Source organism: Homo sapiens, chromosome 9, assembly GCF_000001405.40.
Source record: "Homo sapiens chromosome 9, GRCh38.p14 Primary Assembly".
Taxonomy (NCBI): domain Eukaryota; kingdom Metazoa; phylum Chordata; class Mammalia; order Primates; family Hominidae; genus Homo; species Homo sapiens.
The window spans coordinates 35,073,473-35,087,802 of NC_000009.12; the positions used below are offsets into that span (position 1 = coordinate 35,073,473).

Here is a 14,330-nt window from a genome sequence, read left to right on the forward strand (position 1 = left end):
ATTTGACTAAGACGAGTCGAATTTCTAGAATTTGGAATTAGGAAGGGAGTGAAGAGTTACTCTGAGAGAAACCTGCCTGTCTCTAAGTAACAGGTACCTGCCCTTGTCCTGAGAGGCCTATCTAGACCACCCTTCAGACCCAACTCCACTCATTGTCACTGTCCTGGGCTTTGGGGCTCTGCATTCAGGCAATGTGAAGGACTAAAGCCACTGCCTCCAAAGTGAGGATTCCTGTAGCCCTTTCCTCATACCCAGACTTCAAGTTCATAAGGTAGACGATGTCAGGAAAGGGCATCATAGACAACTAGCACTCAACTAGACGGTCACAAGCCTTCCCACGCAAGTATATGTAGTAGGCAGACGAGATAAATATGAAATTTTACTCGACAACAGAAAAGGAGAAACAGGAAAAAAGGTGCCTCGAGCAAAGTCAATGACTTGGTGGTGGCAGAGATTGTTTCCTCCAAAACGAGAATGGTAGTAACTAGGGCAAATTTCACAGGCCTACCACCAATCTCACCAGTCCAGGAATTATATAGGAATGGTCACATTCCTAATGATGGTGAAGCAGAAAGCCCTCCCCACAGAGAGACAGCCCACTGGGGACCCAGCTCAAGCTCTTCAAAACGTGGCAGCTACAGGTCACAAGACTTTGGCAGAGATGTCCGAAATTCTTCAAGGAAGGCGTCACGATCAGAGGGACGGATCCAGCTCAAATAGCTTTCTAGGTACAGGGGGAGAGACCTGGAGAGAAAGAAGGATGATGCCTAAGGGTGAAAGATTGGCAGAAAGCTGGGCAGCCATACCCCCGCTTTCAGTGTTCACCACCCACAATAGGTCCAAGGACTCTAGGACACCAACTGCCCCTCAGCCCCAAGCCAGCAGGCCTGAGCCTCACCACAGAGCATCTTCATGTGACCCCTTAGTTTGGGCCTCCAGCCTCCACCAGAGTGCAGTGGCCTCATCCCTCCGATCTAGCCTCTTCAGAGTCTGAAGCAGGTGAAAGTAAGTGTCTCGATTACCTGTAGCCCCAGCCCAGAGTACAGAGTCTTAGAACTTGACATAGTCTTAGGCATTGTTTTATAAAAAGGGAAACTGAGGCCTAGAGAGAGGAAGTATCTTGCCTACACTCACATATGGAAGCGGGGGCAGATCATTCACAACCATTCCCATCCCAGTGTCCATCATCTGCCCCCTACTCCTGTGCAACCCACAACAGCAGAGTCATGGTCTTTGTGTCTGAGGATATCGGGGAAACCAGGGAACTCTTGGGAGCCCTGCATACACACTGTGTATATTTGAACACCTGGATATATCCCTAGGTATATATAGCACAACCCCAATCACCCCTCCTGTCTGAGAACACCACTCTTACACTTACGCCCAAGTATTTCCCATGGGCCTCTCTGTCCTTGCACATCTATGCATAGCCGACGTCATGCAAGTATACATACCTGGGCACATCTGCACACTGAGGAGGAAGTCCTGTAAGGCTTTGGTATCCTGGCCGCTGGCTACCCATTCCAGTCCACGACTAATTAGGGCGGCTGCCCGAAGCTGCTGCAGTGCCGCATCTGACTTACATCCCTGCTCACAGTTGAAAGCTGCCCCTGGGGACCACTCCCAAAGTCAAGAAGTGTCTTCCCAGCCTCACAGTCACCAAAACCCCAAATCCTCCTCTATTTCTTCTTGTGTCCACAGTCCCTTTCTCTTAAGTCTCCTGGTGGGCTGGGACACATTAAAGGGAACCCACTTCCACCACTACCACTTCCAGGAGGTAAGAGGAAAACTGAAAGTTTAGATCACCTTGTTCTTTTTCCTCAGGTGTGGCCCGGAAGAGCAGCTCGAGGCACCTGAAGTAGGACACAGAACAGGGGTGAAGAGGAATCAATTTCAGAAACTCTAGGGTAAGTAGGTGAACATGGAGCTCACCAACTCAGGTCCCAATCAGAAAATCATCCCTCCACACCCCCTCTAGGACCCCGGGCTCACCTGCTAAATTCACTAATTGCCACTTTTTGGGCACCCAGTTGAACCCAGGCCTGGCCCTGAAGCAGGTGGGTGGCAGAGACCCAGAGTGGGCAGTATGGCAGTTCCTTGGTTCCTTTTCTGGCATCTTCCCACAGCCGGGACATCTTGGGTAGCAGAGATGATGTGCGGCTGAGCAACTCCTCACATAGAGTCAAGGCATCTTGGGCTCTGCCTGCCTGGATCAGTGCTACCGCTGCCTCCAAAAACACCTCAGGCATACAGGGCCCTGGAGGGGAGGGGGGTGGGGAGAACTGGAGTGGGAAGAAGAAGCAGTGTCTTGAAAGGCATGAGCCACCATCCCCAACCTCTTCACCAGGCTCTGGTACCATGCAGAGTCCTGGGCCCCCAGACTGGACAGACAGAATAGAGGAAAAAACAAAAAATTGCAGTCTTGCTGTATTTCAAAGGGGACACCAACCCGTCTACCCCATTGCAGAGAAGCTTGAAGACACACCCACCCTTGGCTCCGAGCTATCCAGCAACAGGGCCAGCAGGTCCAAGTAATGCTCTGCAGCGTCTCCTGCCCTGAGGAGTAAAAGCCCATAAGCCTCACCCTAGGCCCTAGCAGGGAACCTGCAAGGGTCCTGAGAATGTTCTCTCTTAGCTAACAGATGGATGTTCATGGGCCCTGAGGAGGAGAAAGGGAGGGAAGGTCTTAGGGCTCCAATTTTGGCTCAGTATGGATCTACCCCAGTTACAGAATGGACTGGGGAAGAGACTTCAGAGTGTCAAAGATAGAGAAGGTTAATGTCTTAGAGAAGAGTCCTCAGTTCAGGTCTAGAAGCAAGGTAAGAGGCTGAGGAGTGGCGACCTATGTCCTGCCACTGCCTCATTCATCCCCCAAGTCACAAGAACAAAAGCAGAGTCACACCCCAGGGGAGGCATCAGAAGTGGGAAGAGAAGCTCAGGTGAGCAAGGGGAACCTCACCTCCCCGTCTGTAGGCACCTGCTTGCTAGTATGTGCTTGGTCTGGCTCTGAGTGCCACAATGAAGGGGTGAGGCTAGGTCAGGTGGTGGCAGTAGTAATTCTACCTCAATGAGAAACTGCGGGGCTTTGGAACTGCATGGGACATTCAAGGCCTAAAAGAGAAAGAAAAAAATTGTATCTATAATCTTTGGGAGCCATACTTCCTTATACTTGGATCTTGACTAGTCAAGTCACCCCATCACAAGCACCTCAGGAATCCTCCACCCCACATCTTCACCTGGCAGTTCCCTACCTCAACTAGCAGCTCCAGACTCTCCAGCTCTGCTGTTGTGTCCCCCAGTTGCTGATAGAGCCTAGAGGCCTCCAGAAGTGGAGGACCCCAGGCTGATCCCTCTTTCAGGGCTGCAACCAAGTACAACAGTGCTCTCTGTGGATTTCCCTAAAGGGATAGGAGGACACGGGCCTCAGCTACCCTTACAAAGCAAAAAGCTATACATAATGCTTGTGGTTTCCCCAATCCACCCTAGGACTGTCTTTACCATCTTACGGTGACAGGACCCCAGTGCTGTGTACACCTGGACCAACACAGGCCGTGGACACAGGCCTGAGGCCGCTTCATGAAGGCTGCTTAGTGCCTTGTCTGGGTTCCCTGTGATCAGCTCCTGGAGACCTGAGGACAGTCAGGGTGTGAGCTTGGAGAGGGCTATAGAGCAGGGGTCATGATGGGGAACAAGGGTCTAAGAAGCCCATGGAACTGAATGGGACAAGAGAGAGGGCATGAGTCTGGAGGACCACTTAAAGGTAGAAGAGATGAGTCAGGTTGCTAGCTGACCTTGGCGGTAGGCAAATGCTGTCAGGAGGACATCCTTCAATCCCTGGGCATCCTGCAGGGTCAATGGAGCATCTAATTCCTCAGCTGGGGGACTCCAAGTTTTCAGAAGTAACAGCAGATCCTTAGAGGCTCCACTCTGGGGAAAGAAGGACAACCAGAAGCTCCAAGCCTACAACCTCCTCGTCTTCTCCTATCTCCATCTATCCTGGCTAGACCTTGAGCTCAAGGGTCCTCTTGATCCTTGAGGACACAGGCCTCAGCTACCCTTACAAAGCAAGAAGCTATGCATAATGCCTGTAGTTTCCCCCAATTCTAAGAGATAGATAGCTATGAGGCAAGAATTAAAAAAAAGGAAGAAAAACCTGGGGCAGTGATGATCTATTCCAGCGTGCCTCCTCACTCAGGGCAAGGACCATATTTGAGTTACTAATAAGGAGACTAAGGCTGAGAGCTGACTTGAGCAAGATCACAAGAGCCCTATCCCTATCCAAAAAAAAATTTTTTTTTTTTTTGAGACAGGGTCTCCCTCTGTCACCCAGGCTGCAGGGCTGGAGTGCAGTGGCGTGATCATAGCTCACAACTCACTGTTGCCTCCACCTCTTGGGTTCAAGTGATCCTCCTACCTCAGCCTCCCAAAGTGCTGAGATTACAGGTATGAGCCACCATGCCTGTCCAATTTTTAAAAAACACTCCTAAGAGAATCCCCACAATGAGAGACCAACCAGGGCAAGGTCACCCAAGAGTCCCAGAGAGAATCCAGGTTTTCCGACCACCAACCCAGCCGCCTGTCCAGTACATGATGATGCTACTGCAGCTGGAGAGAAAGGAGGAGGAAGGAAGGAGGAGACCCTCAGCTTCAGGTCACTTTCCCTATTACCTGGCTGCCATTCAGGGTCTCTAGTAACAAGGCCAGGTCCCCAAGACGGTCAGCACTCAACCAGAGGGCAGCCTGCAGGCCAACCAGGCGGTGCAGGGCAGACAGCAGCTCCGGCAGAAGGCAGGAAGCACGAAGGACAGAGTCCCACAGCTCCCTGAGCCCCTGTTCCAACCTGGGCCCCTGCTGCTCCTGTGTCTCCAGCACTGTAGAGTATACACACACACATAGACACACACACAGCTGAAGTAGCACCTCATCCTCCATCTCCCCACACACTCTGGCTTTCCTCTCCTGCAGGACCCCAAAGGTCACAATAATAATACCTCAACCTGGTCTGAAGAGCACAGAGAAGGGCACCTCTCTCCATGGAGGTGACAGATGTTGTTTATCCTCCCATCTCCCTGCAATAACTTAAACCCAGACTGAAGATGGCAGGGGAATCAGGGACAATCTCTGGCCCTCACCTCTCTCTAGGCTCCGCTGGATATCCTGGGCCTGATCCTCTGTGAAACCCTGGGCCAAGCTTGCCCTCAGGATAATGAAGTTGCAGGTGACAGTCAGCTCCAAGGGAAGAACAGGAACAGCTGCAGGGAGCCCTGGAGCAACAATGTTGGTCTTACAGACTGCTCCCCCATGGAAGATCCTCCAAATAAAATCCCAACTCAGAGATCACCCCACTCCAACCAAAACAGCTACAATAAAGAACCCACCCTCCAGCCAATTAGCTAAGGATTTAAAAAAAGAACCCAACCTTTGGACAGAGAGTCTGGAAAGGGCAAAAAAGTTATCCAGATCAGACCATCTTGGAAACCATTTTTCAAATGCCACTCTGTGAGTGTGTAAGGAAGAGAGGGATTTGCCTGTACAAAGATGATTCCACTCCAGTCTCCTCTGTGCCTTAAACAGGACTCCCTGCCCCGAGTAATTATATCGATCCCAAAAACGCAGGAGCGGATGTTTCTCTGGCTATGGAAGAGGGGAACTGACCATCCTGGGGAGGACCCGCCTACCTTGCAGACTATGGAGGAGCCCTCTGAGCCCTTCCAGTGCATCCTGAGCCAACTGCTGTCGCCTCAGAGTCAGACCGGAGTTCTGAGCCACCTGCCACATGAGGGAGGGGTTGTCACTGAGGATCAATCCTTTTTTCTCCCCTTGCAGCAGTGGCAAGGGATGCATTCTCCAGTCATTTCTGGCTCTTTGGTCAAGCTCAGTCCCTCCCCATCGGTTGGGGTAAATCCACTGCAAACCCGCTTTCAGGGATCTTGAGGCTGCAAACCGAGGGTGCCAGCAACCGTGTTACCTTGGCCTGTCGAACGAGCCGGTCATTCTTTTCCCTCCACAGGTCCAGGCAGCTGGAGCCCACAGAGGTGGTCTGGCGGGACATGGTGGCCGAGGCTGGGCCCGGAGACCAGAAGCGGACTTAGGAAGGGTGAAGCTGGCCTGCCCAAGCTCCCAACCCCAGCGGGGAGGGGCCTGGGCACTTCTGCACCCCGCCGAGCTCCCCTGCTTCTCTCGGGGTCCCAATCCACCCGCCCAGGCTTTCCAGGACAGATGGGACGCTCTCTCCCCGCGGCCCGCCGGGCTCTCAACCTCGCCTCTGGTTGGCCGGGTCTGCGAAGCTCTGGGCTGCGGTTGGTCCTCTTGAAGAGTTAGTTCCCGCGGGAAACTCGGGGAGGAAACGAGTCAGCAACCCCAAACAGGCTTAGGCGGGCTAGAAGCCGGGGTCGTGTCTGACTGGGGCAGTCGCACGGCCGGCGGTGCGGCCCGCTCGGCTCTCGCGGAGGCCACAGCCTCGAGAAAGGGTGGGCGGGAGCGAGTTTCGGCCCCACAGTCCGTGGCTCGGCCCTTCCTCGCTGCCACACCCCCAGGTCCTCCTGGGTTCCCGCTTCCACCGAGGGCCGACTGCGAGGTGCATGCTGGGAGTCGTAGTACCGCACCGGGGCGGAACAGCTCCGCCCCGGCGGATGGTGTTTCCAGAAAGCGGTAACTGGAGACGAGGGCGCTCCGTAATCGTCCATCCTTTCTCTGCTCACTGTCGAGCACCAACACGCTCACCAAGGTCGGCTTTCTACCGCGTGTAGTCTGCTGGCAGTGCCGCTCTGTACTTGCACTGCTCAAAAGTACCTGCCCAATCATTTCAAATTAAATGGAGCTAGGAGAATTGAATATCCATATGCAAAAAAAAAAAAAAAAAAAGACAGGAAAGAAAAGAACGCGACCATACATACGTACATAAAATCAACTCAATGGATCACAAACTAAATATAAGAGCCAAAAATATAAAACTTCTAAAAGAAAACGTAAAGCAGCCTAACTAACATGGTGAAACCTTCTCTACAAAAATACAAAAATTAGCAGGGCGTGGTGTCGTGCGCCTGTAATCCCAGCTACCCCGGAGGCTGAGGCGGAAGAATCGCTTGAACCCGGGTGGCGGAGGTTGCAGTGAGCCGACATCGTGCCATTGCACTCCAGCCTGGGTGACAGAGTGAGACTCCGTCTCAAAAAAAAAAAAAAAAGAAAACGTAAGAGAACAGCTTTATGACCTTGGGTTTGGCAACAAGTTGTTAGACACAGCACTAAAAGCTTGTACAATTTAAAAAAAAGTTAACTTTATTAAAATTAAAAACTCTTGTACTACAAAGACATCATTAAGAAGTCATACGCTGGGGCCGGGCGCCGTGGCTCACGCCTGTGATCCCAGCACTTTGGGAGACCGAGGCGGGCGGATCACGAGGTCAGGAGATCGAGACCATCATGGCTAACACGGTGAAACCCCGTCTCTACTAAAAATACAAAAAATTAGCCGGGCGATGTGGCGGGCGCCTGTAGTCCCAGCTACTCGGGAGGCTGAGGCAGGAGAAAGGCGTGAACCCCGCGGGCCAGAGCCTGCAGTGAGCCGAGATCGCCCCACTGCACTCCAGCCTGCGCAACAGCGAGACTCCATCTCAAAAAAAAAAGAAAAGAAAAGAAAAGAAAAGAAGAAAAATCATAGGCTGGATGTGGCTCATGCTGTAATCCCAGCACTTTGGGAGGCTGAGGCTGGAGGATTCCCTGAAGCCAGGAGTTCAAGACCAGCCTAGGCAACAAAGATGGTGTCTTTTGTAGAGACATTATCTCTACAAAAAATTTAAAACATTAACCCTGGCACAATAACACACCTGTAGACCCAGCTACTTGGGAGGCTGAGGTGGGAGGAGCCCTTGAGCCTAGGAGTTCCAGGTTGCAGTGAGCCATGATCACACCACTGCCCTCCAGCCTGAGTAACAGAGTGAGACCCTGCCTCAAAAAAAGAAAGGTCACAGTCACAGAGTGGGAGAAACTACTTGCTAATTATATACCTCATAAGGGACTGGTATCCCTAACACATAAAAACTCCCAAAACTCAAGAAAAAGATTTTTAAAAACAATCTTAGCTGGGTGTGGTGGTTCATGCCTGTTATCCCAGCACTTTGGGAGGCTGAGGTGGGAGGATCATTTGAGCCTCAGAAGTTTAAGACCTGCCTGGGCAACATAGCAAAACCCCACCTCTACAAAAAAAATACAAAAATTAGCTGGGCATGGTGGCACACACCTGTAGTCCCATCTACTCGGGAAACTTAGGTGGGAGGATCACCTGAGCTCAGGGATGTCGAAGCTGCAGTGAGCCATGATTGAGCCACTGCACTCCAGCGTGGGCAACAAAGTGAGACCCTGTCTCAAAACAAAACAAAAAACAATTTTAAGATGGACCAAAAAAAAAAAAAAAGACATTTTACCAAAAAAGATCTACTAATGGCTAAGAAACACATAAAAAGATGCTCGGCATTATTAGCTATTAGAGAAACACAGTTAAAAACATGGCCAGGGCCGGGCCATGTTATGCCTGTAATCCCAGCACTTTGGGAGGCTGAGGTGGATGGATCACTTGAGGTCAGGAGTTCAAGACCAGCATGGCCAACTTGGTGAAACCTCGTCTCTACTAAAAATACAAAAATTAGGCAGGCATGGTGGTGCATGCCTGTAATCCCAGCTACCTGGGAAGCTGAGGTGGGAGAATGGCTTGAACCCGGAAGGTGGAGGTTGCAGTGAGCCGAGATCCTGCCACTGAACTCTAGCCTAGGTGACACAGCGAGACTTCGTCTCAAAAAATAAAAAAACGCTTCACACAGCCGGGCGTGGTGGCTCACACCTTTAATCCCAGCACTTTGGGAGGCTGAGGCAGGTGGATCACTTGAGGCCAGGAGTTTGAGACCAGCCAAGCCAACAGGGCAAAACCCTGTCTCTACTGCAAATACAAAAATTAGCTGGGCATGGTGGCAGACACCTGTAATCCCAGCTACTCAGGAGGCTGAGGCATGACAATCACTTGAACCTGGGAAACGGAGGTTGCAGTGAGCTGAGACCATGCCACTGCACTCCAGCCTGGGTGACAGAGTGAGACTCTGTCTCAAAAATAAATAAATAAAAATAAAAACACTATACACATACATACATAAAATGACTACAATAAAAACAGATTATACCAAGTGTTGGTGAGGATGTGTATGAGGAACCCTCATACACTGCTGGTGGGAATATAAAATAGTACACTCACTTCAGAAAAGTTTGGCAGTTTCTTAAAAAGTTAATCATAGGCCGGGCGCAGTGGCTTATTCCTGTAATCCCAGCACTTTGGGAGGCCAAGGCAGGTGAATCACGATGTCAGTAGATCGAGACCATCCTGGCTAACACAGTGAAACCCCGTCTCTACTAAAAATACAAAAAATTAGCCAGGCGTGGTGGCGGGCACCTGTAGTCCCAGCTACTCAAGAGGCTGAGGCAGGAGAATGGCGTGAACCCAGGAAGTGGAGCTTGCAGTGAGCCAAGACCCCGCCACTGCACTCCAGCCTGGGTGACAGAGCAAGACTCCATCTCAAAAAAAAAAAAAGAAAAAAAAGTCAATCACAAATTTACCATAAGACTCAGCAATTCCACTCCAAAGAATACTCCCAAGAGAAATGAAAACATACGTCCACACTGAGATTTGTTGCAAATACTCATAGTAGCTAAAAATGTTCATAATAGCTAAAAACTGAAAACAATCAAAATGTCCATCAGTTGGTCAAAGCCAATGATTTAGCAATGAAAAGGGGCAAAAGAGTGCACCAACAAACTTTTTTTTTTTTGAGACGGAGTCTCGCTCTGTTGCCCGGGCTGGAGTGCAGTGGCGCAATCTCGGCTCACTGCAACCTCCGCCTCCTGGGTTCAAGCAATTCTCCTACCTCAGCCTCCCGAGTAACTGGGATTACAGGTGCACACCACCACGCCCAGCTAACTTTTTTGTATTTTAGTAGAGACGGGGTTTCACCATGTTGCCCAGGCTGGTCTCGAACTCCTGAGCTCAGGCAATCCACTGGCCTCGGCCTTCCAAAGTGCTAGGATTACAAACTTATAAAGATTGAAAACAGGCTGGGTACAGTGGCTCATGCCTGTAATCCTAGCTCTTTGGGAGGCCAAGGTGGGCGGATCACGAGGTCAAGAGATTGAGACCATCCTGGCCAACATGGTGAAACCCCGTCTCTACTAAAAATACAAAAATTAGCCAGGCGTCGTGGTGCACACCTGTAATCCCAGCTACTCGGGAGGCCGAGGCAGTAGAATCCCTTGAACCCAGGAGGCTGAGGTTGCAGTGAGCCGAGATCGCGCCACTGCACTCCAGCCTGGGCGACAGAGCAAGACTGTCTCAAAAAAAAAAAAAAAAAAAAAAAAAAGATTGAAAACAGGCCAGGCTCATGCCTGTAATCCCAGCACTTTGGGGGACTGAGGTGGGCGGATCACCAGAGGGCAGGAGACCAGCCTGGCTAACATAGTGAAACCCCATCTCGCCGGACGTGGTGGCACATGCCTATAGTCCCAGCTACTTGGGAGGCTGAGGCAGGAGAACCACTTGAACCCAGGAGGCAGAGGCTGCAGTGAGCAGAGATCACGCCACTGCACTCCGGCCTGGGCAACAGAGTGAAACTCCATCTCTAAATAAATAAATAAATAAATAAATAAATAAATAAATAAATAAATAAAAGACCGAAAACAGATCATTGGCCTGGGGTAGGATTAGGGAGTCAATGTAGGGAATTTTGGGGGGATGATAGAAATGTTCTAAAATTAAGTTGTGGCATTTTGCAATAATTTATTTCATATGACACCAAAAGCATAAGCAATGAAAGAAAAAAACAGGATGAACTGGACTTTCTCAAAATTAAGAATTTTTGTGTAGGCCAGGCGCGGTGGCTCATGCCTGTAATCCCAGCACTTTGGGAGGCCAAGGCGGGCGGATCATAAGGTCAAGAGATTGAGACCATCCTGTCCAACATGGTGAAACCCCGTCTCTACTAAAAATACAAAAATTAGCTGGGCGTGGTGATGCACGCCTGTAGTCCCAGCTACTCAGGAGGCTGAGGCAGGAGAATCACTTGAACCCAGGAGGCGGAGGTTGCAGTGAGCCGAGATAGTGCCACTGTACTCCAGCCTGGCGACAGAGCAAGACTCCGTCTCAAAAAAAAAAAAAAAAAAAAGAATGTTTGTGCATTAAAGGATATTATCAAGAAAATGAAAAGACAACCCACAGAGTGGAGAAAATATTTGTAAGTCATATATCATTTGTAAATCATATATCATATCATATCATATATCTGTTCAGGGACCTGTATCTAGCATGTAAAAAGAATGCTAGCCAGGCACAGTGGCTTACACCTGTAATCCCAGCACTTTGGGAGGCTGAAGCAGGAGGATTGCCTGAGCCCAGGAGTTCAAGACCAGCCTAGGCAACATAGTGGGGCCCTGTCTCTACAATAAAATAAAAAATTAGTCGGCCATGGTGGTGCACACCTGTAGTCCCAGTTACTCAGGAAGCTGAGACAGGAGGACTGCTTGAACCCAGGAAGCTGTGGCTTCAGTGAGCCATGATCACGCCACTGCATTATAGCCTGGGTGACAGAGCAAGACCCTGGTCCAAAAATAATAATAATAACAATAATCCAATTAAAAATAGTCAAAGAATCTGAAGGGACATTTCTCCAGTAAGCACAAGAAAAGATGCTCAGCTCAGCATCATTAATCATTAAGGAAATGCACACCAAAACCACAATGAGATATTACTTCACACCCACTAGGATGGTTAGAATCAAAGACAGATGACAACAAGTGTTGACATGGATGTGGAGAAATCGTTACCCATATATACTTCTGGTAAGACTGTAAAACGATACAGCAACTTTGGAAAACAAACTGGCAGTTCCTTAAAAGATTAAACAGAGTTACCTTATGACCCAGCAGTTGCTCAGTGTACAGCTAGGTATACACTCAAGAGAAATTAAAACATATGTCCAAACAAAAACTTATACACAAATGTTTATAGCAGCATTACATAATAACCAAAATGTGTAAATCCAAATGGCTATCAATGGATGAATGGATAAACAAAATGTGGTATATCCATGCAATAGAGTATTATTTGGCCATAAAGAGGAATGAAGTACCAATACATGCTACAACATAGATGAACTCTGAAAACATTAGGCTGAGTAAAGGAAGATAAGACAGAAAAAGGCACTACTGTATGAGCCCATTTATATGAAATGTCCAGAACAGGCAAATCTATAGAGACAGAAAACAAATTAGTGGTACCAGGAGTTAAGGGGGAGAAGAGAAGGAATGACTGCTTAAGGGTACAGGGTTTCTTTTTGGGGTAATGAAAACATTCTGGAATTGATAATGATGATAATTGTACAACGTTGTGAATGTACTAACGGCCACTAAATTATACACTTTAAAATGGTGAATTTTATATGAATTTTACTTCAATTTTAAAAAAGAAAAAGAATGAAGTACTGCTGTGTGCTGCTATATAGATGAAACCGGAAAACATTATACTAAGTGGAAGATGCCAGTCACAAAAGACCACATATTATTATGATCCCATTTCTGTGAAATATCCAAAATGGGCAAATATATAGAGAAACAGCAGATTAGTGCTAGCCAGGGGTTGGGGAGGATTGGAGGGTGATATCTAAACAGTAGATTTTCTTTTGGGGTTGGTGAAAATGTTCTAAAATTGATTCTGGTGATGGTTGTACAATTCTGTAAATACACAAAAACCATTAAATCTTACACCTTACATGGGTAAATTTTATGGTAAATTGCATTTCAATAAAGCTTTTTTAAAAAAGAATCAGGGCTGGGTGCAATGGCTCACACCTGCAATCCCAACACTTGAGGAGGTCGAGGCAGGAGGATGGCTTGAGGCCAGGAGTTCAAGACCAGCCTAGGCAAGACAGCAAGACCCCCACCTCTACAAAAAATTAAAGGAAAAAAAAAAAGAATCATTGAGTTAGTGTGGAATGGACTCTGATTTCAAGGAAAAGGGAGGGATAAGATAATTTTTCTTTTTAAAAGAGAGAGGATCTATGTTGCCCAGGCTGGAGTGCAGTGGCTATTCACAGGTGCATTCATTGTGCACTACAGCCTCTAACTCCTGGGCTCAAGTGATCCACCTCAGCCTCTACATAGCTGGGACCATGCCTGGCTAATTTTTTTATTTTTGTAGAGACGGAGTCTTGCTATCCTCAAGTGATCCTCCCACCTCTGCCTCCCAAGTAGCTGGGACTATAGGGACATGCCACAGTGCCTGGCTAGAAATAATTTTTAATAGCGTAAATCAATGTACTAATGTCTTTATCTAATAGAATCTTATAGATACACCAGGAGAAAGAATAGACAGTGGTTGGCAGATCAGCAAATTAGCCTTAGGCTCCAGGCAAGGAGGCTACTGCAAAAAGTGCAGGGTACCTGGCTGAGAAGTGGAGGAACTAGGGCCTAAAATCCTTCCATGGGTGCTAGGGATGGAGGAAAGGTTTTTGTTTTGGTTTTTTTCCCCTTTCTCAAAAAGACACCATTTGCTCACCGAACTATGCTTGGGAGTTGTGTCCACCAGACTTGGGGAGAAGCGTTTTTCTAATTCATCTTACAGGCCAGCTGGGGCCAACTTCACCCCCTTGCATTATTAAACCTCTTTCTACCATGGTTAACAACCTATCCCTTTTTTTTTTTTTTTTTTTTTGAGAGAGAGTCTGGCTCTGTCTCCCAGGCTGGAGTGCAGTAGCGTGATCTTGGCTCACTGTAACCTCTGCCTCCCAGGTTCAAGCGATTCTCCTGCCTCAGCCTCCTGAGTAGCCGGAATTACAGGTGCACACCACCACACCTGGCTAATTTTTGTATTTTTAGTAGAGATGGGGTTTTGCCATGTTGGCCAGGCTGGTCTCAAACTCCTGACCTCAGGTGATCCACCCGCCTTGGCTCCCCAAAGTGCTGAGATTACAGGCATGAGGCACCACACCCAGCTGAACCATACTTTTCATCATCTTACTATTTGGCATCTGTAACACTAGGGACCACTGGCCATTAATAATCTGAACTTAGCCAGGTGCTGTGGCTCACACCTGTAATCCTAGTGCTTTGAGAGGCCAAGGTGGAAGGATCGCTTGAGGCCAGGAGTTCACGAACAGCCTGGGCAATGTAGCAAGACTCTGTCTGTACAGAAATTTAAAAATTAGCCAGGCATGGTCCCAGATACTGAGGAGGCTGAGATGGATCACTTGAGCCCAGGAGTTTGAAACTACAGGGAGCTATGATTGCACCACTGCCCTCCA

The 14,330-nt window shown here is 48.7% G+C and overlaps 1 protein-coding gene across 1 annotated transcript, besides 3 other annotated features; it reads right to left on the minus strand.

Annotated features, from left to right (window-relative positions):
• On the minus strand, nt 367–6,470 carry FANCG (FA complementation group G). The gene is made up of 14 exons (NM_004629.2): nt 5,969–6,470; nt 5,679–5,769; nt 5,133–5,264; nt 4,669–4,871; nt 3,792–3,927; nt 3,499–3,629; nt 3,252–3,398; nt 2,960–3,111; nt 2,490–2,556; nt 1,993–2,282; nt 1,807–1,853; nt 1,455–1,610; nt 899–1,022; nt 367–744 (listed from the first exon to the last, which is right to left on the minus strand). The coding sequence occupies exons 1-14, from the start codon at nt 6,050–6,052 to the stop codon at nt 636–638; spliced, it is 1,869 nt and encodes a 622-aa protein (NP_004620.1). The 5' UTR covers nt 6,053–6,470; the 3' UTR covers nt 367–635.
• Nucleotides 5,492–6,099: an enhancer, noted in NCBI's record as "NANOG-H3K27ac-H3K4me1 hESC enhancer chr9:35078961-35079568 (GRCh37/hg19 assembly coordinates)". NCBI's record gives its function as "activates a minimal SCP1, AML or CMV promoter by ChIP-STARR-seq in primed H9 embryonic stem cells {active_cell/tissue: H9 hESC(primed)}" and the evidence as "EXISTENCE:reporter gene assay evidence [ECO:0000049][PMID:30033119]".
• Nucleotides 6,175–6,340: a silencer, noted in NCBI's record as "fragment chr9:35079644-35079809 (GRCh37/hg19 assembly coordinates)". NCBI's record gives its function as "represses an EF-1alpha promoter that drives an FKBP-Casp9 reporter gene in an ReSE screen in K562 erythroleukemia cells {active_cell/tissue: K562}" and the evidence as "EXISTENCE:reporter gene assay evidence [ECO:0000049][PMID:32094911]".
• Nucleotides 7,316–7,922: an enhancer, noted in NCBI's record as "H3K4me1 hESC enhancer chr9:35080785-35081391 (GRCh37/hg19 assembly coordinates)". NCBI's record gives its function as "activates a minimal SCP1, AML or CMV promoter by ChIP-STARR-seq in primed H9 embryonic stem cells {active_cell/tissue: H9 hESC(primed)}" and the evidence as "EXISTENCE:reporter gene assay evidence [ECO:0000049][PMID:30033119]".

What these genes read in the sequence shown, in the direction of transcription:
- FANCG (NM_004629.2), bottom strand. Translation starts at nt 6,052, where the DNA reads ATGTCCCGCCAGACCACCTCTGTGGGCTCCAGCTGCCTGGACCTGTGG. An exon ending in GGTCCTGTCACCGTAAGATG is followed by an intron (nt 3,399 to 3,498) that starts GTAAAGACAGTC and finishes CTATCCCTTTAG; the next exon opens with GGAAATCCACAGAGAGCACT. An exon ending in GCAATTAGTGAATTTAGCAG is followed by an intron (nt 1,854 to 1,992) that starts GTGAGCCCGGGG and finishes GTCCTACTTCAG; the next exon opens with GTGCCTCGAGCTGCTCTTCC.